Source organism: Homo sapiens, chromosome 11 (assembly GCF_000001405.40).
Source record: "Homo sapiens chromosome 11, GRCh38.p14 Primary Assembly".
NCBI classification, from domain to species: Eukaryota; Metazoa; Chordata; class Mammalia; order Primates; family Hominidae; genus Homo; species Homo sapiens.
Genome location: NC_000011.10, coordinates 56,098,431 through 56,120,152, shown reverse-complemented (window position 1 = coordinate 56,120,152; position 21,722 = coordinate 56,098,431). Strand labels below are relative to the sequence as shown.

General features: G+C 34.3%; 1 protein-coding gene and 1 pseudogene across 2 annotated transcripts; one reads left to right on the top strand and one right to left on the bottom strand.

The window, feature by feature from the left end:
• OR5BN2P (olfactory receptor family 5 subfamily BN member 2 pseudogene) lies at nt 2,898-3,515 on the top strand (annotated as a pseudogene).
• OR8H2 (olfactory receptor family 8 subfamily H member 2) lies at nt 12,495-16,466 on the bottom strand. Of its 2 annotated transcripts, none has more exons than NM_001005200.2 (2): nt 16,166-16,466; nt 12,495-15,285 (listed from the first exon to the last, which is right to left on the bottom strand). In NM_001005200.2, the coding sequence occupies exon 2, from the start codon at nt 15,108-15,110 to the stop codon at nt 14,172-14,174; it is 939 nt and encodes a 312-aa protein (NP_001005200.1). In that variant the 5' UTR covers nt 15,111-15,285; nt 16,166-16,466; the 3' UTR covers nt 12,495-14,171. The 2 variants fall into 2 exon arrangements, with proteins under 2 accessions (NP_001005200.1, NP_001372993.1); NM_001386064.1 differs by having other exon boundaries at nt 12,495-15,281.
• Nucleotides 16,467-21,722: the final 5,256 nt, after the last annotated feature.

Below are 21,722 nucleotides of genomic sequence, written 5' to 3'. Positions count from 1 at the left end.
TTTTATGAAACAAAAGTGAGAGCAGAAAAACAAAATCAGCCATGAGACTAATAAACATTTTATAATTAATTTAGTAGCCCAAAACATACTTCCTCCATGTATAGTCAGGTCAATTTTTTCCTTAAATATGAGTTAAAATTAAAATATAAAAAGAGAGCTGAAATATTCTACTGAGAATTATTTGTCCAAGATGAGGAAGCAAGGGAAGATTCTGAAACAATATAAAATGTGAAACAGAGTAAAATATTAAAGTGAATCTTAAGTCATTATAAAAAAATCAATTTTATGTAAATTTTAAAGTGAGTCTAGAAGGAAAGCATGCCCATAATCTAGAATTTCAGGAGATAATCTGTTGGTAGGTATAAAGCGCTACATTTGTATGTATTTATTGTACCTTTGATGAGTTTTGGGAAGAGCGATTCTATTCACCAGAAATTTAGTGCTCCTGAGACAGGTTGATTTGAATATTTAAAAGCCAGCATCACACTCTTTAACAATAGATAACATTAGGGTTTAAGCCAAATAAGAGGCAAAAGGTGACTATGTCAAAACTACCTCAATAGGCTTGGTGATCGTAAAATCTCCGAGAGCAAGGGATTTTCTTGCTTGATGTTTTTCTAACATTGAAAACCATTTTGTTCAGGTTCAGAGTTGTTTATCATGGCAGGAAAATTATTTTCCCATTTACTAAATCATTGCTGAAACCTAATTCTGACCAGAGATTTTAAATCTCTTTCAATTTAAATGATGAAATAATGTAATGTCCTAGCTAGTTATACTTTTTATGATTTATTTATTTATTTAGACACAGAGTCTCACTTTGCCCAGGCTGAAGTGCAGTTGTGCTATCTTGGCTCATTGTAACGTCCACCTCCTGGGCTCAAGAGATCCTCCTGCCTCATCCTCCCAAGTAGCTGGGACTACAGGTGAACTCGCCACCAGGCTCAGCTAATTTTTTGTAGTCTTTGTAGAGGTCTCCCTATGTTGTCCAGGCTTGTCTTGAATTCCTGGGTTCAAGGTATCTCCTGCCTAGGCCTCGCTAAGGGCTGGGATAATAGTTGTGAGCCACAGTGCCTGGCCTTTATATTTTAAACTATGTTTCTTATCCTCTTCTATTCTCTCTCTATCTCTCTCTCTCTTCTGGAATATGTTTATTATTTTTTTTAATCTTTGGCTCAGTTAAAAAAATTACTTTTCTGATATATTTTGTTCAAATACTTATTAATTTGTTTATTCGTTAGTTATTTTAGTTATTCTTATTTTAACATTTTTTTCCCCTACTTTATCAGGTTGGGTTCATTATTTTTTTCTCCACCACCTAGTAAAAGTATTTTCTTATGGTTACCTGTTTAATATTATCAGAATTTAATATTTGCATTATCCATCCTGGTGTCACTCTTCACCTGTATACATAGTGATCTGAATTATTTCTATTGTGGCATATTATATAAATAGTCTAAAGTTAAATGTTTCGTTTCTTATTTGACTAAGATTAACCTCAGCTATGCTTAGTTATTAAGTTATTAAAATCATAGTAAATTTATGATTCTAATTTTTTAAAATTTTTAATTAAAATTTAAAATTTTAAATTATTTTTACTATTTATTTATTTATTTATTTGGAGTCTTGCTCTGTTGCCCAGGCTGAAGTGCAGTGGCACAATCTTGACTCACTGCAGCCTCTGCCTTCAGGGTTCAAACAATTCTTCTGCCTCAGCCTCCTGAGTAGCTGGGACTACAGGCACACCCACCATGTCCCACTTATTTTTGTATATTTTTAGTAGAGATGGGGTTTCACCATGGTGGCCAGGTTGGTCTCGAACTCCTGACCTCAACTGATCTTCCTGCCTCAGCCTCCCCGAGTGCTGGGATTACAGGTGTGAGCTACTGTGTCCAGCCAATATTTATTTTTTATTGAATTGCATTGTGGTTATGACTGCTTTAAGCCTTGTAAATTTATAAATTACTTTTAATCAACTGGTATAAATTACTCATAGATTCTGGGAAAGAAAGATCCAAATGTCAATATGCAAGTCTGGCTTTTTCTATTACAGTATTTGTAGATTATAAATTCTCAGTGGGGCAAACAGAAATAAATACAAAAATGAGTGATTAAACATATCAGAAGGTGAAATGTACTATAAATAAAATAAAGGAAATGTAAAACAGCATAAAAGATGGGAGGAGTGTTCAGAAACAGGGGCGTGAGGAAGCAACCAAAATGGAGGAGAAGGTTTATCTCAATGAAAAGGTGACAGTTCAGCAAAGACTTGAAGGAGGGAAGAGTTAGTCATATAGGTACGGGGTGGGAATGTGTTCCACACGGATGGATCATTAGGGTGAAGGACCTGTGAAGAGGATAGACCAGGTAGTTGAAGGAATAACAAGCAGGACTATGTGGTAAGAGTGCTGTGAAGAAAACTGGAGATAGTGCATGGGGACTTTTGAGCTTTCCTTTATAAAAAATAATTGCCGGCCGGGCGTGGAGGCTCATGCCTGTAAACCTAGCACTTTGGGAGGCCGAGGCTGGTGGATCACGAGGTCAGGTGATCAAGACCATCCTAGTTAGCAGGGTGAAACCCCGTCGCTACTAAAAATACAAAAAATTAGCTGGGTGTGGTGGTGGGTGACTGTAGTCCCAGCTACTCCAGACGCTGAGGCAGGAGAATGGTGTGAACCCAGGAGGTGGAGCTTTCAGTGAGCCAAGATCACACCACTACACTCCAGCCTGGGCAACAGAGCAAGACTCTTTGTCAAAAAAAAGAGAAAAAAAAAATTTCCAAGAAAGTCTTCAGTGATAGGCCCATACCGAAATAAGTGAAATAGAGAGCCATAAAAAATACCTGGAGAAAGTGAGTTTCAGGGAAATGGAAGAGTAAATACAATGTTCTATAAAATTAGTGCTTTGTTCTAATGTTTTGTATCACTTTATTTTAGTAAAAATTGAGTAAGCAAAAAATATACTGGGTTCTGACTATCTTTGGCTTTTTAGAGGCATTCATTGCCATGAATAAATTATAAAAGTTATATAGTTCTCTAATATGTTTATATTTTATAATATGAATATTTAGTTCTCTAATATGTTTATATTTTATAATATGAATATTTCTGTACATTATTTCCTAAAATGTATTTTTTTCTTTTGTATCTGTTGTCTTTAGCTATTAATTTTTGATAGTTTTTCTACCCATCCTCCTCTTCCCCTACTTTAAGAGGCAGATATCTGTGCAAATTCCTAGCCATGCTACACTAATACTACAGCTTCCTGATGACACTTTTACATTATCCTCAACTTTTGCCTCTCTTATTGACCCTCTGTATCATCGATGCTCTATGGAAGACTGTTCCTTATGTACTTAATGCTCAGAAAATTCTCTTGACACAGACAGGATGGCCTCTGTCTTCTACACAGTAGTCATTCCCATGTTAAACCCATTGATCTGGAGCCCCAGGAACAAGGATGTGACATTGCCCTGAGGAAAGTCATGGTCAATAGAAAACAGGCATTATTTTGCTCATAAAATTAAGAAACAAACTTCAAAAAAACAAAAGCGTGCCTTCCTTATGATCTGTTTTCTCTCTGTTAATAAAATTCATATCTATCTTAGTTGTCAACCAATAAAGATCTGCTCACTGTAAAGTGACATAATTCTCTATGTTCTTTGTAAGCAAAGAATTACAATTACATGCAGAAGGTAGCATAACAATTTACATCAAATGCTATTGCTCACATAAAAATATGTATATTTTTAAAATTGATTATCTCATCTGATAGCTGCACAACTATGTACTTGTCAAGAATACATAGAAGTAAAGGCATCCAGAACACCAAGTTTAAAGATTATTGGAGCACTTTAATAATATAGTGATAATGGTAGCTTAACAAAATATTTCCAATTAAATTCAAATAATATACTCCAAATTAAGTTGAATAATATTTTCCAATTAAATTACAATAAACTTTAAAGCAGTGGTTTTGACCAGAAGTAAGTTTTCCCACTGGAAATCATTAGTCAATGTCTGCAAATATTGTTGATTTCATGATGATGAGGTGGTTTGAACAATGTTACTGCTATCTAGAGGGTAGATGTCACTTAAGCTGCAAAATAATCCAATATTCACAAGACAGCCCCTCACACAAAAAAATTACTCAATCCGGAATGTTAATAGTGCCAATTCTGAGAAAGCCTACCTGAAAAATTGTTGTTCAGTATTGTTTGATTAATAATTGTGTCATTGATTTTAATCGGCTCAAACTGGAGGAGAGTGCTGTTCAAGTCCTCTATAATATTGCTCTTTTCTTCTTTATTTGTTCTCTCAATTATTAAGACTGATTTTAAAATTGAAAGTTAAATTATGTTTTTTCCTTTCTTATCTGTCAGTTTTGATGTCGAATATTCTGGGGCTTTTTGTCATTAGTACATGAATGTATTTTTTATTTTTATAGTTTTTAACTTTCATTTTAGGTTCAGAGGTGTATGTGCAGGTTTGTTATATAGATCAATTTCAGGACACTGGGGTTTGGTGTATAGATTATTTTGTCACCCAGATAATAAGTACAGCGCTTGACTGATACCTTTCCCTCTTTACCCTTCTTCCACCTTCCACCCTCAAGTAAGCCCCAGTGTCTGCTGTTACCTTCTTTGGTTCCACATGTACTCAGTGTTTACCCCCACCTATAAGTGATAACATGTGGTATTCGGTTTTCTGTTACTGTGCTATTTCACTTAAGATAATACTCTGCAGCTCCATCCATGTTCCCACAAAAGACACGATCTTGTTCTTCATAGCTGCATAGTATTCCATGGTGAACATGCATCACATTTATTTAGTCTGTCGTGGATGGGCATTTGGGTTGATTTTTATGCTTTGGCTATTGTGAATAGTGCTGCAGTGAACATTCACAGGCATGTGTCTTTATGATAGAATAATTTATATTCTTTGAGTATATACCCAGTAATAGGATTGCTGGGTCAAAGTGTAGTTCTATTTTTAGGTCTTTGAGGAATCACCACACTGCTTTCCACAATGGTTGAACTACACTCCAACCAACAGTGTATCAGTATTCCCTTTTCTCCATAACCTCACCAGCACCTGTTATTGTTTGGATTTTTTAATAATAGCTGTTCTCACCAGTAAGTGAGAACATGTGGTATTTGTTTTTCTGTTTCTGGATCAGTTTGCTAAGGAAAGGGAGCTGAATGAGAAGAACACATGGACATACAGAGGGGAACAACACACACTGGAGCCTGTCTGAGGGTGGAGAGTGGGAGAAGGGAGAGCATCAGGAAAAATAACTAATGGGTACTAGGCTTAATACCTGGGTGATAAAATAATCTGTACGACAAATCCCCATGACACAAGTTTACCTATGTAACAAACCTGCACATGTACCCCTGAACTTAAATGTTAAAATAATAATAATAGCCATTCCCAGTGGTGTGAGGTGGTATCTCATTGTAGTTTTGATTTTCATACCTCCAGCGATTGGTGATATTGAGCTTTTATTCATATATTTATTGGCTGCATGTATGTCTTTTTTTAAAAAGTATCTGTTCATGTCCTTTGTCCACTTTTTAATGGGTTTTTTTTTCTTGTAAATTTGTTTAAGCTCCTTATAGATGCTGGATATTAGACCTTTGTCAGTTGCATAGATTCCAAAAATTTTCTCCCAGTTTGTAGGTTGTCTATTTACTCTGTTGATAGTTTCTTTTGCTGTGCAGAAGCTGTTTAGTTTAATTAGATCCCTTGTAAATTTTTGCTTTTGTTTTGGTTGCTTTTGGTGTCTTCATCATGAAATTTTTACCCATTCCTATCCCCAGAATAGTATTGCCTTGGTTGTGATTTAGGTTTTATTATAGTTTTGGGATTACATTTAAGTCTTTAATCCATCTTGAGTTAAATTTTGTATGTAGTGTAAGAAAAAGGTCCAGTTTCAATCTTCTGCATATGGCTGCCAGTTATCCCAGCAGCATTTATTGAATATTGAGTCGTTTCCCCATTGCTTGTTTCTGTCAACTTTGTCAAAGATCAGATCACTGTAAATTTGTTGCCTTATTTCTGGCTTCTTTATTCTGTTCCATTGGTCTATGTACCTGTTTTTGTGCCTATACCATGCTGTTTTGGTTATTGTAGCCCTGTAGTGTATTCTAAAGTTGGGGAATGTGATGCCTCCAGCTTTGTTCTTTTGGTTTAGCATTGCCTTGACTATTTGGGCTCTGTTTGGATCCATGTTAATCTTACAATAGTTTTTTTCTAGTTCTGTGAAGAAAGTCATTGGTAGTTTGATAGGAATAGCATTGAGTCTGTCAATTGACTTGGGCAGAGTGGCTATATCAATGATATTGATTCTTCCTATCCATGACCATGAAATATTTTTCTATTTGTGTCATCTTTGATTTCTTTGAGCAGTGTTTTATAATTCTCATTATAGAACTGTTTCATATTCCTGGTTAGCTGTATTTCTAGGTATTTTATTCTTTTTGGCAATTGTGAGTGGGATTGTGTTCCTGATTTGGTTCTTGGCTTAACTGTTTGGTGTATAGAAATGCTGGTGATTTTTATACATTGGTTTTTTTATCCTGAAAATGCTGAAGTTGTTTGTCAGCTGAAGGAGCTTTTGGGCCAAGACTATGGAGTTCTCTAGATATAGAATTGTTTCTTAGTGTGGCTACATGTTTGTCAAATTTTTTCACATTTTCTTTGTTGTTGTTTTGAAGACTTTTTTTATTTAAAAAAATTTATATTAAGTTCAGGGATACATGTCAGGTTTGTGACATAGGTAAACTTGTGTCATGGGGGTTTGTCATACAGATTATTTTATCACCCAGGTATTAAGCCTAGTACCCATTAGTTATTTTTCCTGAGCTCTCTCCTCCCACACGCCACTCTCTGATAGATCCAAGTGTCTGTCAATCCCTTCCATGTGTTCATGTGTTCTCATCATTTAGCTCCCACTTAGAAGTAAGGACATGTAGTATTTGGTTTTCTGTTACTGTTAGTTTGCTAAGGATAATGGCCTCCAACTTCATTCATGTCCCTGCAAAGGACATAATCTCCGTCTTTTTTATGGCTACATGGAATTTTTTATGGATCTTTTGTATTTTTTTCTTTTGTAAATTTCATTCATTTCTGCTCTAATCTTTAGACGGAGTCTCGCCCTGTCAAGTGCAGTGGCGCGATCTCAGCTCACTGCAAGCTCCGCCTCCTGGGTTCATGCCATTCTCCTGCCTCAGCCCCCTGAGTAGCTGGGACTACAGGCGCCCGCCACCACACCCTGCTAATTTTTTGTATTTTTAGTAGAGAAGGGGTTTCACTGTCTTAGCCAGGATGGTCTCGATCTCCTGACCTCGTGATCCTCCCGCCTTGGCCTCCCAAAGTGCTGGGATTAAAGGCGTGAGCCACCGTACCCGGCCTCTGCTCTAATCTTTATTTTTTATTTTCTTCTACTAATTTCAGCTTTGGTTTGTTCATTCTTTTCCAGTTCTTTAAGACACATTGTTGAGTCTTTTATTTGAAGTTTTTCTTCTTTTTTGATGTCGGCGCTAGTATAAGCCATCATTTGACTCTATTTTATGCAGCACAAGTAGTCGTTTAGCTACCCTAGCTGGTGTCTGACTGGGTCACATGCCTCCCAAGTCAACTGGTTGTGAGCTCAGCACAGCACTAGGACTTGCCTAGGAGTTGCAGTCCTTTGTAGCCTAGACTGCCTTTTATGTTTAGTTAGAAGTCCAGGACCCTTTTAGCCCAAGATGGTGAGGTTTCCCAGAACCCAAGTTCCAGCTGCTGGCATGGATGATTCACCTTGGCTAGAGCTGGTCTAAATGTGCCCTCCTTGGAATCAGGCTTAACTATGGCCAGTGTTACTTTCCTCTGTGTCATAGTAGCACTGAGTTCAAATCATGCCCTCCCAAAGCCCACATGGCCTTGCATTTTAAACCCAATAAACAAGGCCCAGAACCCAGAAGCAAGCTTACTTTACTTAAACTCACACCTTCTTCTGCTTTATTCATTCTGCCTTACTTATTTTTGTTCCAGATAGTTTAACATGAAGAATGGATAGTTACGGGTTTTTTTTTAGTAAAACATTGTCTCTTTCCAAAGGGGTGATTGATTGTCCTGATATTCAGCCAGAGAAAAAATATATTAGAATATAGTAATCAAAGCAATGGTCCGTTTTAGAGTGAATTCATAAGTGTGAGTTCGAAATCCAAGATAATAATTTTCAGTACATCAGATTCTTATCTTTCTGATCAATTACACAAAGAGAACACATATTTCTCTATTGGAATAAGTAAAGACTAGAGAGAAGAATATACACTCAAAATTCCTCTAAAAATGGCAAACCAATTTGCAGAGACGCATCAGTAACTATATTATAGACAAGATTTTATCTTATAAAAAGAGGCATGCTGTTTGCAGCCATAGCATCTTAAAATTTACTTTTTGGTTTATAATCCCTTAAGGAGAGTTTTCTGGAAGAAGGAAATTATCTGCCTCAGTGTGCTTCTAACTATTTGTCTCTTACAAAATTCAACTATTTGGCAGTATTCCAGGATCGTTTTTAGGCATCGACCACTCAAATCTGGGTTTCAAAATTGTTAAAAAAATGCTTTAGTCAAGGTTGTCATCCAGTTTATTGATTGTGTTGCTTTTTCAAATTAACAAAAATAATCATTCTTTGGCAAAGGAAGAAGTGAGTATGAGGGATGAGAATAACCTCATTTATGTCTAAAAATATCAAATTGAAAATACACCAAAAAATCATCAAGAATCAACATCCAATTAACCTGCATGAAAATTCTACTAGTGTCCTTTTTATTCTACTATACTTGAAACCAAATTGTGGGTATAAACAATCTCTCATGATCTTCTATTTGTTCAGACCACTATGGAAGAGTGTTATATTTAAATCTCAAGTTAATAAAATTTCACTCCACATAACTCAGCTCTATTACTTTTCTCTCAAAAATACCTTTTGACTTATCCTATCCCCATGGGGCCTCTCTTTCTTATCACTTAATCATTTTTATTATTTTTTGTTGTGTTTGATTAGTATCTACATCTACCAGTGTGGTGACATTGTAACTTTCATGAATACAGGTATTGTGTTTGTTTGATATTAGAATTATATCTTTAGGGTATAAAAGAGCACATAGAAAATATAGTTTATTGACAAAAATATTTACTGACTGAATGGTGAGTCAAAGAGTAAGTTAGATTTGTTCTTATGTGCTTAGATTGTTCAGTGTGCTAGATTTGTTCTCTTCTGTTTGTTAATTATCCATACAGTATATATCTTCTGCCCCTTTGCAGGTGTTTTGCTACTTATATTCTAACCTGGTTCTCCTCTCCACATCCACTAGCTCACCTCTGAATTTTTGAAACAGTCAAAAAAGTTTCAGATGGGGGAAATGTTGGGGCTCAGAACACTATACCTTGAAGTATGGTAGCTTGGCATGCTGAGGGCTTTGAACCTAATGAAACTGTAAGGACTTCAGAATCTAGGTTTTTCGTTGTTGTTGTTGTTGCGTTTACCTTCTTCTACGTTCCTTTCTTCTGCTTCCCCTTTTCTCCCAAGGCAAGCCTTAAAAACTACAGTTTCTCTTCCCCAAGGTGGGTCATAGAACATAGAATTCCTTTCTTCAAAGCAAGACAAAATAAACCTAAAAACATCACTCTGACCTTCCCCTGATTTTCTGTGGACGCGCTCATCGTAAAGAAATTCTCTGATCTATGTTGTCTGAAAGTAGGTCAGAGACCCACATTCCAGAAGAGTCCTGTCCTATACTAAGGAAAAGGAATGCTACACTGAGAAGCCAAAAAGAATGGTCCTTAAGAGCAATGTGAGGATTCAAACCTAATTTGCCTAGCTACAGAATTCCCTTTTTAAAGTTTGTTATATAGAGAGTGAAATAATTGACTGATCTTTTTACTTTTCCAACTTAATTTTTCTGCCTCTGGACAACACTTTTGGAAACATTAAGAGTTTTCATACAGCCAATGACAGAAGTAAGAGAGAAAAATAATGCACTTGAAAATATTGGATAAGTGGTTTCTACAAAACTTGTTCATTGATTCTGTTCATTGGGATGTAAATAGTTTACAGGTTTGAGGCATCAGTGATCAATAAGAAAGACCAAAAAAAAAAAAAAAAAGAAAGGAAGAAAAAAAGGAGAGAAAAAAAACAGAAGCAAATAAACAATGTAAGAGAAGAGTAGATGTTATATCTGGATGGATTATGAGATTCCATTACATTTTCAAGGTGCAGAATGAGATATTGCACAGGTAAGTGTGGATTTACCTAGAGGGGCCATATTTGAAGTCATATCAATGGATAAGTTTTAAAGGGTATGTAGAGCTTTTATTTCCACATAAGCTGTATAACGTTACAAAGAACTTGCTCCCACCCTATTTAAAACAATCCAGTTAATCTATAAAAATCATAATTTTTGTGAGTCTATCTTGGAGCTAAGGTTGCATTCGTCTAAATAATCTCAATTCCAAGCAGAGACAAGACCCTTCCAAAAGGAAATGGGAGATGAACTGTTTGACTTTTGGCAAAGGGTGAGAGAAAGATGAGGCCATCGTATAGGCATGTAAAAATAAATCAGCGAAATTTAAAAAAATCTTAAATCCAAATATGTACTTTTGAGAAAATCAGAAAGTTCTAGAATGAAAGGATTTATATTCACGATTAAAGTTTTATCTGTCCTGCTCTAGGTGATGGGGGAAAGTTCTCTGCTCATAGAGCTTACATGATCATAGGGGAAAACAAACACAAAATAAAAGACACAAGAAAAATATATAGAATGTCAGATGAGAATAACTGCTATGAAACACAAATGAAGGTTTGAAAGAGGGTGTGAAATGTATTAGTTTTAATAGGGTGGCAAGGAGTTCTCTTGTTAAGAAAAGGATAAGAAAAACCATCATGCAGTTATTTGTGGGAAAGAAGTTTCAGGAAGAAGAGAAAAATGGAAAAACTTCAGGCAGTGTTTGTACTATTGCTTAGAGAGAAGAGCTGGGAGGTCATGGAGTAGAAACAAAGTGAGCGTGACAGATGGATAATAAGAAAGGAGTTCATAGATTTAAGAATTGAGGAAATCATTTTTTAACCAATGAGCACTTATAAACCTCTTGGCTTTTATTCTTATTGTGATGAAATATTGTGTAGGGTTTGTGAAGAAAATGTATGATCCAACCTACTGTTTAGCAGTATAACTCTGGCTCCTACATTAAGCTATGACTCAAGAAGAATAAGAATAAAATTAGGTGCATGCTACAGTACTGCAGCAATAATTCTGAAACTGATAGTTATCTGGGCCAGAATGGTAGCGAAACAAATGCTTAAGTAGACACCAAATATAGTCTATATTTAGAATCACCTTAATATGCTGATGGAATGGAAATAAAGTGTGTTCGATAAAAAGGAAATTCCAAGTTAATTTAACTTAAGTCTTTGCTTGAACAAGCAAAAGGTGGTTTTCCACTAATGTGTGCCTAAACTTTATATATTGCTAGTGCTGATCTGACAGTTAAATTATAATCATAAATTATGTTAATTACTTATATATAAAGCCCTTTGAATATTGCCTGACAATGGTAAGTGCTCAGAAAAATATATTGTTACTATTTTCATCTTGCCATATTATTTGGAAGTAAAAATAGCTGTTCATATTTTGCTATGCTGAATTACAGTTTTCTTCATATTTATGTTATATAGCATTTGTATATGACACTATGAACCAGAGGACAATGTCTTAAATTACTTTAGACAATATCCGATATAAAATATACTATACACTAATAGGGAAATTATAGGTAAAATTCGAACAATGTAAATCTTTCATATTGCACATAGATTATTGTATGTTTTTTTAATAATATTATTTAAATATGTTTTAGCTTATATTATAAAGATGATAAGGTAGTCTTCATTAAATTAGAATTTAAGCAACGTCTTAGCCTAAGTGTTGTCTACAAAGTGATAGATTCTGTTGACCATCTTTGCAACCCAAATTGATAGGACACATTTTCCAAATCATAGAAGTAGACGTAAATGAAAGCAAGATAAAACCATAGCTTATAAAAATGATTAGAAAAATGGAAAGAGCCTGTAAATACATAAAATTATATTATGCATTTATAAGATGAGAATGAGTCAAAGACATATTATTAACTAATAAATGTTGATTAAATACTTATTTCTAATTGCAAAAGAAAACAAATAGGGGGACCTATAAATATATATTCTGGACAACATGGATATCAAAGGAAAAACTAAATCATAATAATTTTATATGGTATTAATATTTGATAAGCAAAATTTTGAAATAATAAAGTAGAGGAAATGGTATGTATTTAAATGAAGTGAATAAATTAGTTGACAGTTTGCATTAGTGAAATTTCATTAAAATAGTAACTCCTAAAATAGAGGTTACAGTCCATTTTAAACATTCAAAATGCACTTAGAAGAAATCAAATATAATTGTACGAAGATAACAAATTTCACAAGATTAAAAAAGTATTGCTTGAATGAAAACTAATAACTGTTACAAAAGTGTAAACAGAAAAGACAAATACTTGGAAAATAAAAACTAGCTTCTAAAATATCCATTAAATAGCAGAGAAAAACAAAACTGTGATTCCAGATATGGAAGAGAAAAATTTAAAAATAAAAGACATTTTAGCACTCTGCCTGACTAAATTTGTGGGCTGTTACAACATCTGAATTCATTATCAATTCTTTGCTTTACAACTTTTCTGTATTAAGAAATTTAAAATCAATGAATAAAGCATTTAAGTCAAGGAGTTATTTTTACAACTGAAACAAACCTGTAGAAATCAGGAGAAAGGCAATGATTTTTAAAAACACACAGGATTTTAACAAAGAAGCAATTTGACACATTTGACACATTACAGAAATCCAGTTTTTGAAGTTTTGCACGCAAAAGAGATATCACTGCATGTAGATTTGTAAGTTGGTGAGTTTATATTTCAAGTCCAAAACATTGTGAAGTGAGTCTTGATTTTGTCCATGTACCAAGAAAAAATTTATATTAGAGTTGTCGATGACAACATTAAACTTGTAAATGGATACAGAAAGCTGAAAATCAGTACATGGAAAGTGATACAAATTTTGTTTATATGTGTTATATACATGCACATATTTGAAACTATTGATCTAGAAGAACATGCACAAAACTCAATATTTGTTTTTCTAAAACTGAAAATGGGTTTATTAGAGAAGTAAAGAAAAGAATAATGGCTACCCCCACATCAAGAGCAGCCAAAACTCAATATTTGTAGAGGATTTCTATTTTCTTCAATATTTTGTAATATTTTTCAAATTTTCTCCAACATTATCTTAATATAGGCTATTTTTCTATAACTTAATTCTACTGAAATATTTTGCTTCTGAAATCCAAAATTGTGAGCTGCTGATTTTTGTTCTTTTTAGTTCTGTCAATTAAATTAACCAAAAATAATTTGTTAAACACAAGTTTACATTCTTGAAAAAAGGCTTTGTGCAGTAATGTAGGTCTTCTAATGATAATGGGAAGCATTAATTATTATTGCTTTAAATACTCTACAACTACCCTCTGATCAGATTTGGAGTTATTATTTATCTTGTGCACTTAGGGAAGGGAGGCTTAAGCTTTAGGTAACGTATTACTGGCTATACAGCTAAAAATGTAGCATATTTAGAATCTAATTCTTGGGAAGTTTTATTCCAAAATAGGTACTCCTACCCACTCTGCTATAATTCTTCCCCATATAATAAATGGAATAACATCTAAAACTATTATCATTGTGTCCCAAATAGTTCTTTCCATAATAAATTTATCTACAATTGAAGTATACATAAGAATTTGAATAATATAATTAAAAATGACAACCATATTTTCTTATTTTCCACATCAGTTGCTTCAAACACATATATGTAGACTGAAAACATGACACACATATTATGATTTCTAATTACCATTTGGATTTCTAAAAACATATGCCTTGAAATGTTTAAAATCATGTTTAGTGAAGCAAAGGGTAGCACAACAGAAATGCAAACAAATTAAAAGATTCAATTGTTTTTATAGAGAGACTAAGAAAATACCCAACAGGAATGAAAGAAAAGATGAGTTTAAATGTTCAGCATTCCTGCTATATTAATTACCTGGAGTCCTGTCTTCTCTGCATGACTCTGATGACAGCATTTTTCACCTCTTTGTTTCTAAGACTATAAATGAGTGGATTCAGCACGGGAATCACAATAGTATAAAAAACAGAAGCCACTTGATCTCTTCCCAAGGAATAAGACTTTCTTGGTTTTAAATAAGTAAAAATCAGAGTGCTATAAAAGATGGTGACTCCCAAGAGATGAGAGACGCAAGTAGAGAAAGCTTTCTGCTTTCCTGAAGTGGAATTAATTTTCAGGATGGTAAAGAGAATGAACACATAGGATGCAGATATTGTGAAAAGGGACACCATCAGGGTGGAACCAACAATAATGAATATCAGGATTTCGGTGTTGTATGTATCAGTGCAGGACAGAGCTAAAATTGGGGAAGTGTCACAGAAAAAGTGATGAATTACGTTTGAGTCGTAGAAATGCAATCTGCTCATGGAAACCACGTTGACAAAGGAGTCTATAAAGCCAATCACATAAGGCCCAGTGATGAGAGCGAGGCAGAGCCTTTTGGACATAATAACTGTGTAGTGTAGAGGACTGCAGATCGCTGCATAGCGATCATGGGCCATTGAGGAGAGAAGGTAACATTCAGCAGTACCCAAGAAGGCAAAAAAGAACATCTGGGCAAAGCAGCCCGTAAAGGAAATATAGTTGGAAGTCAGTAAGTTCGCTAAGGTTTTAGGTGTGACGACAGTTGAGTAACTGAGGTCAATAAATGACAGGTGAGTAAGGAAAAAATACATGGGAGTGTGAAGCTGGAGGTCCAGGCGGATTATCAATATCATCCCCACATTCCCCAGCATAGTAATTAGGTATATCAGGAGAAATAGCATAAACAGAGCCATCTGGATCTCTTCAGAAAGTGTCAGTCCCATAAGGATGAAGTCAGCCACATTTGTGTTATTCCTTCTACCCATCATGTTCACCTGCTCTAAACTGCTGAGAAATCAAAGCTGATACGTAGCAGGGGCGCCTGTAATCCCAGCTACTGGAGAAGCTGAGGCAGGAGAATTGCTTGAACGCGGGAGGCGGAGGTTGCAGTGAGCCGGGATCGCACCATTGCATTCCAGCCCTGGCGACTGTGCCAGACTCTGACTCAAAAAACAAAAAACAAACAAAAAAAAACTTTCTGTTTATATGAATGGCATATCATTTAAAAATTAGCTTAGCCTTCTATAAGTTGCTAATAAATTTATAGAATATGACTAAAGAAACTAATTTTATTGCCAATATTGATGTAAGTACAAATTAACATTTGCATATGTTACAATAAAGTGTAGCATGTAGCATATTGCATAATTAGAATGAACCTGACATTGTTCTGAATGACTTCCTTTATTAACACATTGAATCCACCTGAAAATAGTATACCTTAGATACTACTATTATCCACATAGTTTAGGTGAGGAAAAAAAGAGTATGGAAGGTTGGAGTAACTTATTCAAAGTCGGATCTATTCAATGTTGACACTGATTCTACCAAGATATATTAACTTCAGAGAGACGGCTTATAATACTATACTCTTGTTTATAAATAATTTCAGAAAACTTGAGAAAAGAGCTAGACATGTAATAAAAAATGACAGGAAACCGTTTTATTATATCATTTACTCCCCTTTTGTTTCCAATATTATTTAATAATAATTTCCAATAAATTTCACCCTTGGGGATTTTAGTTAGCTACATTAAAATTATAGACAATATATAAGCATTAATTTATAAAATACGTAATGTTTTCCTGACTTAACTAATCAAAATCTAATTTCTTCCAAAAATTATATTTTCAAAGTATATACTTTGCTTGTAGACTCTGATTCTGTCAACTCTACATTTGTTTCAAAAACCTTGACATTACTTAGGGTAAAGACTAAATGATATGTGTATGTATTAATATATTATTCTGATAAAGTCTGCATTTTATTCCATCTGAAATAAAATCTGGAACAATATCTTCCAATTTTGAGAATAATACTTACTGTGTGTGAGTCAACATTCATTAAAAAGGTTTCTTCTTATATTATCTGTCTGGAAATTTGTCAACCTCAAATTTTTGTTATAAATAAAATATGAAAACTGAGGAAATGAATTTTTTATAATATTTATTTTACTTGAGATAAGTTGTTTTTACATTTTGGTGTATTCATTATGTTTTATTCTGAGTTAAAATAAACCAATCTAGAAATTTTGTTTAGGTTCTGGTCTAATGGAAAGATTACCAAGAAGTTATTTGTCAAAGAAGACCAGCAGCTACTGTGACCACAAGGAGATTATTCTTTCCCTCTCACTTGGATAATTCCAGAGGATCTCATATACCAGAGGCTGATGACAATGCACCTTTTGGTAGGCCCTGGGGACCATTTGCCAAGGCAGATTGTTTGGCATGTTTCCAAGCACAAAAGTTCAAGGACTAAATGTAGCCTATCTTGGTGTTTTCTTGTGATGTTCTCAATATTTTACAGGGGTGGTGGAGAAGGCATTTCCAGAAAAAATAGTTACTCTATGACTGACACCATCAAAGATGGAATAATACATTTTTCACAATTAAATTTTTAAATATTTAATTGTGCAATTTTAATTTCACAATTATTAAAAATAATTAAAAATCATAATCATAAATAATAAATTATTTTGATTTATTTTTAATAAATACTGAAAAATAATAAATTAAAAAATAAATTTTAACAGTATGATACTATTATAGAAGTAAAACAATTAATTAGAAAAGAATCAGAAGGTAACAAGATTCATAAAAGTAAATGAACACAATTCAAAACTGTCGTTATTTTAAAATTATAATTTTTCCTAATTATTTTCCTTTGTTCATTTATTGCTTATTTGTACATGTACTGAAAGATTGCATAACAATTATTGTACTATATATTCAGTGTCTTTTGCTCATTTAATAACCAAAATTTTATGCTATGCCATGAGCTATATTGTATTAACCTTTTATCAACCGCACAATTCTACAGTTCATGTATTGGTTAGTTTCTGATAACTTACTAAGCTAATTATGCGTTCACCAGCTGATAAATAGACATTTTGAAGCATTACCAAAAAATGCTACAGGTTATTCATTGTGGTGTGGTGGTGTCACCTAATTCATCTACATGCAATATTTGTGCAATATGTTTTGCTGTTTTCATGTCCTTTTAAAAATTTTATGAAACAAAAGTGAGAGCAGAAAGACAAAATCAGCCCTGAGACTAATAAACATTTTATAATTAATTTAGTAGCCCAAAACTTCCTCTGTATATAATCAGGTCAAACTTTTTCTTAAATATGAGTTAAAAATTCAAATATAAAAAGAGAACTGAAATATTCTACTGAGAATTATTTGTCCAAGATGAGGAAGCAAAGGAAGAATCTGAAACAATATACAATGTGAATCAAAGTAAAATATTAAAGTGGATCTTAAGTCATGACAATAAAGTCAATTTCATGTAAATGTTTATTTATTTATTTTTTATTTTTTTATTATACTTTAAGTTCTAGGGTACATGTGCACAACATGCAGGTTTGTTACATATGTATACATGTGCCATGCTGGTGTGCTGCACCCAGTAACTCGTCATTTACATTAGGTGTATCTCCTAATGCTATCCCTCCCCCATCCCCCCACCCCACAACAGGCCCCGGTGTGTGATGTTCCCCTTCCTGTGTCCAAGTGTTTTCATTGTTCAATTCCCACCTATGAGTGAGAATATGCGGTGTTTGGTTTTCTGTCCTTGTGATAGTTTGCTGAGAATGATGGTTTCCAGCTTCATCCATGTCCCTACAAAGGACATGAACTCATCATTTTTATGGCTGCATAGTATTCCATGGTGTATATCTGCCACATTTTCTTAATCCAGTCTATCATTGTTGGACATTTGGGTTGGTTCCAAGTCTTTGCTATTGTGAGTAGTGCCGCAATAAACATAAGTGTGCATGTGTCTTTATAGCAGCATAATTTATATTCCTTTGAGTATATGCCCAGTAATGGGATGGCTGGGTCAAATGGTATTTCTAGTTCTAGATCCCTGAGGAATCTCCACACCGTCTTCCACAATGGTTGAACTAGTTTACAGTCCCACCAAAAGTGTAAAAGTGTTCCTATTTCTCCACATCCTCTCCAGCACCTGTTGTTTCCTGACTTTTTAATGATCGCCATTCTAACTGGTGTGAGATGATACATTGTGGTTTTGATTTGCATTTCTCTGATGGCCAGTGATGATGAGCATTTTTTCATGTGTCCGTTGGCTGCATAAATGTCTTATTTTGAGAAGTGTCTGTTCATATCCTTTGCCCAGTTTTTGATGAGATTGTTTGTTTTTTTTCTTGTAAATTTGTTTGAGTTCATTGTAGATTCTGGATATTAGCCCTTTGTCAGATGAGTAGATTGCAAAAATTTTCTCCCATTCTGTAGGTTGCCTGTTCACTCTGATGGTAGTTTCTGCTGCTGTGCAGAAGCTCTTTAGTTTAATTAGATCCCATTTGTCAATTTTGTCTTTTGTTGCCATTGCTTTTGGTGTTTTAGACATGAAGTCCTTGCCCACGCCTATGACCTGAATTGTATTGCCTAGGTTTTCTTCTAGGGTTTTTTTGGTTTTAGGTCTAACATGTAAGCCTTTAATCCATCTTGAATTAACTTTTGTATAAGGTGTAAGGAAGGGATCCAGTTTCAGCTTTCTACATATAGCTAGCCATTTTTCCCAGCACCGTTTGTTAAATAGGGAATCCTTTCCCCATTTCTTGTTTTTGTCAGGTTTGTCAAAGATCAGATAGTTGTAGATGTGTGGTATTATTTCTGAGGGCTCGGTTCTGTTCCATTGGTCTATATCAGAGATATACCAATTTCATGTAAATTTTAAAGTGAGTCTAGAAGGAAAGCATGCCCATAATCTAGAATTTCAGGAGATAATCTGTTGGTAGGTATAAAGCAGCTACATTTGTATGTATTTATTGTACCTTTGGTGAGCTTTGAGAAGGGCGATTGTATTCATCAGAAATTTAGTGATCCGGAGACAGGTTGATTTGAAGATTTAAAAGCCGATATCACACTCTTTAACAATAGATGACATTAGGGTTTAAGCCAAATAAGAGGCAAAAGGTGACTATGTCAAAACTACCTCAATAGGATTGGTGATCGTAAAATCTCCGTGAGCAAGGAGTTTTCTTGCTCAATGCTTTTCTAACATTCAAAACCATTTTGTTCAGGTTCAGAGTTGTTTATAATGGCAGGAAAATTATTTTACTATTTACTATGTCATTACAGAAGCCTAATTCTGATCAGAGATTTTAAATCTCTTTAAATGATGAAATAATGTAACGTTCTAGGTTATTATATTTTTATGATTTATTTATTTATTTAGAGGCAGAGTCTCGCTTTGTTGCCCAGGCTGAGTGCAGTTGTGCTATCTCGGCTAATAGTAACTTCCACCTCCTGGGCTCAAGCCATCCTCCTGACTCATCCTCCCAAGTAGCTGGGACTACAGGTGCTCGCCACCAGCTCGGCTAATTTTTTATATTCTTTGTAGAGATGGGGTCTCCCTATGTTGTCTAGGTTTGTCTCGAACTCCTGGGCTCAAGCAGTCTTCCTGCCTTGGCCTCCCAAAGTGCTGGGATTACAGATGTGCACAGACTTAGTTCATTATATTTTAAACTATGTTTCTTATGCTTTTTCTGTTCTCTTTTTCAATCTGTCTCTCTCTTCTGCATTATGTTTACTTTTTTTTCATCTTTGGCTCAATTAAAAAAATTACTTTTTTGATAGATTTTGTTCAAATGCTTATTAACTTGCTTAATCATTAGTTATTTTAGTTATTTTTTGTTTTAACATTTTATTTCCCCTACTTTATCAGGTTGGATTCATGATTTTTTCTCTACCACCTAGTAAAAGTATTTTCTTATGGTTACCTGTTTAATAATACCAGAATTTAATGTTTGTATTATTCACCCAGATGTCACTTTTCACCTATATACATAGTAATCTGAATTGTTCCTATTGTGGCATATTATATAGTCTAAAGTTAAAATTTTCATTTCTTATTTGACTAAGATTAACCTCAGAGATGCTTAGTCATTAAGTTATTGAAATCATAATAAAATTATGATTCTAAGTTTTTAAAATTGTGAGTTAAAATTATTTATATCTTATAAATATTTATTTATTTATTTGGAGTTTTGCTCTGTTGCCCAGGCTGAAGTACAGTGACACAATCTTGACTCACTGCAGCCTCTGCCTCCTAAGTTCAAACAATACTCCTGCCTCAGCCTCCCGAATAGCTGGGACTACAGGCACACCCACCACACCAGACTAATTTCTGTATTTTTTTAGTAGAGATGAGGTTTCACCATGTTGGCCAGGCTGGTCTTGAACTCCTGACTTCAACTGATCTTCCTGCCTCAGCCTCCCAGAGTGCTGGGATTACAGGTGTGAGCCCCTGCATCCAGCCAATGTATATTTTTTACTGCATTGCATTGTGGTTATGACTGCTTTAAGTTAGGCTTTCTAAATTTATAAATTACTTTTAATAAACTACTATAAATTACACATAGATTGTGGGAAAGAAAAATTCAAATGTTGATATGCAAGTCTGGTCTTTTCTATTAGAGTATTTGTAGATTATAGATTCTCAGCAGGGGGAAACAAATAAATACAAAGGTCAGTGATAACAACATATTGGAAGGTAACATGTACTATAAATGAAATAAAGGAAATGTAAAACAGCATAAAAGGTGGGAGGGGTGTTCAGAAACAGGGGCATGAGGAAGCAACCAAAATGGAGGACAAGGTGTATCTCAGTGAAAAGATGACAGGTGAGCAAAGACTTGAAGGAGGGAAGAGTTAGTCATGTAGGTACAGGGTGGGAATGTGTTCCACACGGATGGATCATTAGGGCGAAGGACCTGTGAAAAGGATGGACCGGGTAGTTGAAGGAATGACAAGCAGTACTATGAGGTAAGAGTGCTGTGAAGAAAAAGTGGAGATAGCGCATGGAGACTTTTGAGCTTTCTTTCTTAAAAAATAATTTTCAGAAAAGGCTGCAATGATGGGGCCATATTGAAATAAGTGAAACAGAGAGCCATAAAAATACCCAGAGACTGAATTTCAGGCAAGTGGAAGAGTAAAAGCAATGTTCTATAAAATTAGTTACTTTGTCCTAATGTTTTGTATCACTTTACTTTAGTAAAAATTGTGTAAGCAAAATAATATACTGAGTTCTGAACAATCTTTGACTTTTTAGAGGCATTCATTACCATGAATAAATATAAAAGTTATATAGTTCTCTAATACATTTATATTTCATAATGCTAACATTTCTGTACATTATTTCCTAAACTATATTTTTCTTTTGTATCTGTTATCTTTAGCTATTAATTTAAGACAGTTTTTCTACCCATCCTTCTCTTCCCCTATTTTAAAAGGCAAATATCTCTGCAAATTCCAGCCATTCTATACTAGTTATTCCAAGTAACAGACAGTAACTTTGAATTCATTTTAAATGGACCTTTAATCTTAATATACAGCTATGAGAATGAGTCAGAATC

Bases quoted from the DNA above. Each gene is read 5' to 3' on its own strand.
- OR8H2 (NM_001005200.2), bottom strand. From the start codon at position 15,110: ATGATGGGTAGAAGGAATAACACAAATGTGGCTGACTTCATCCTTATG.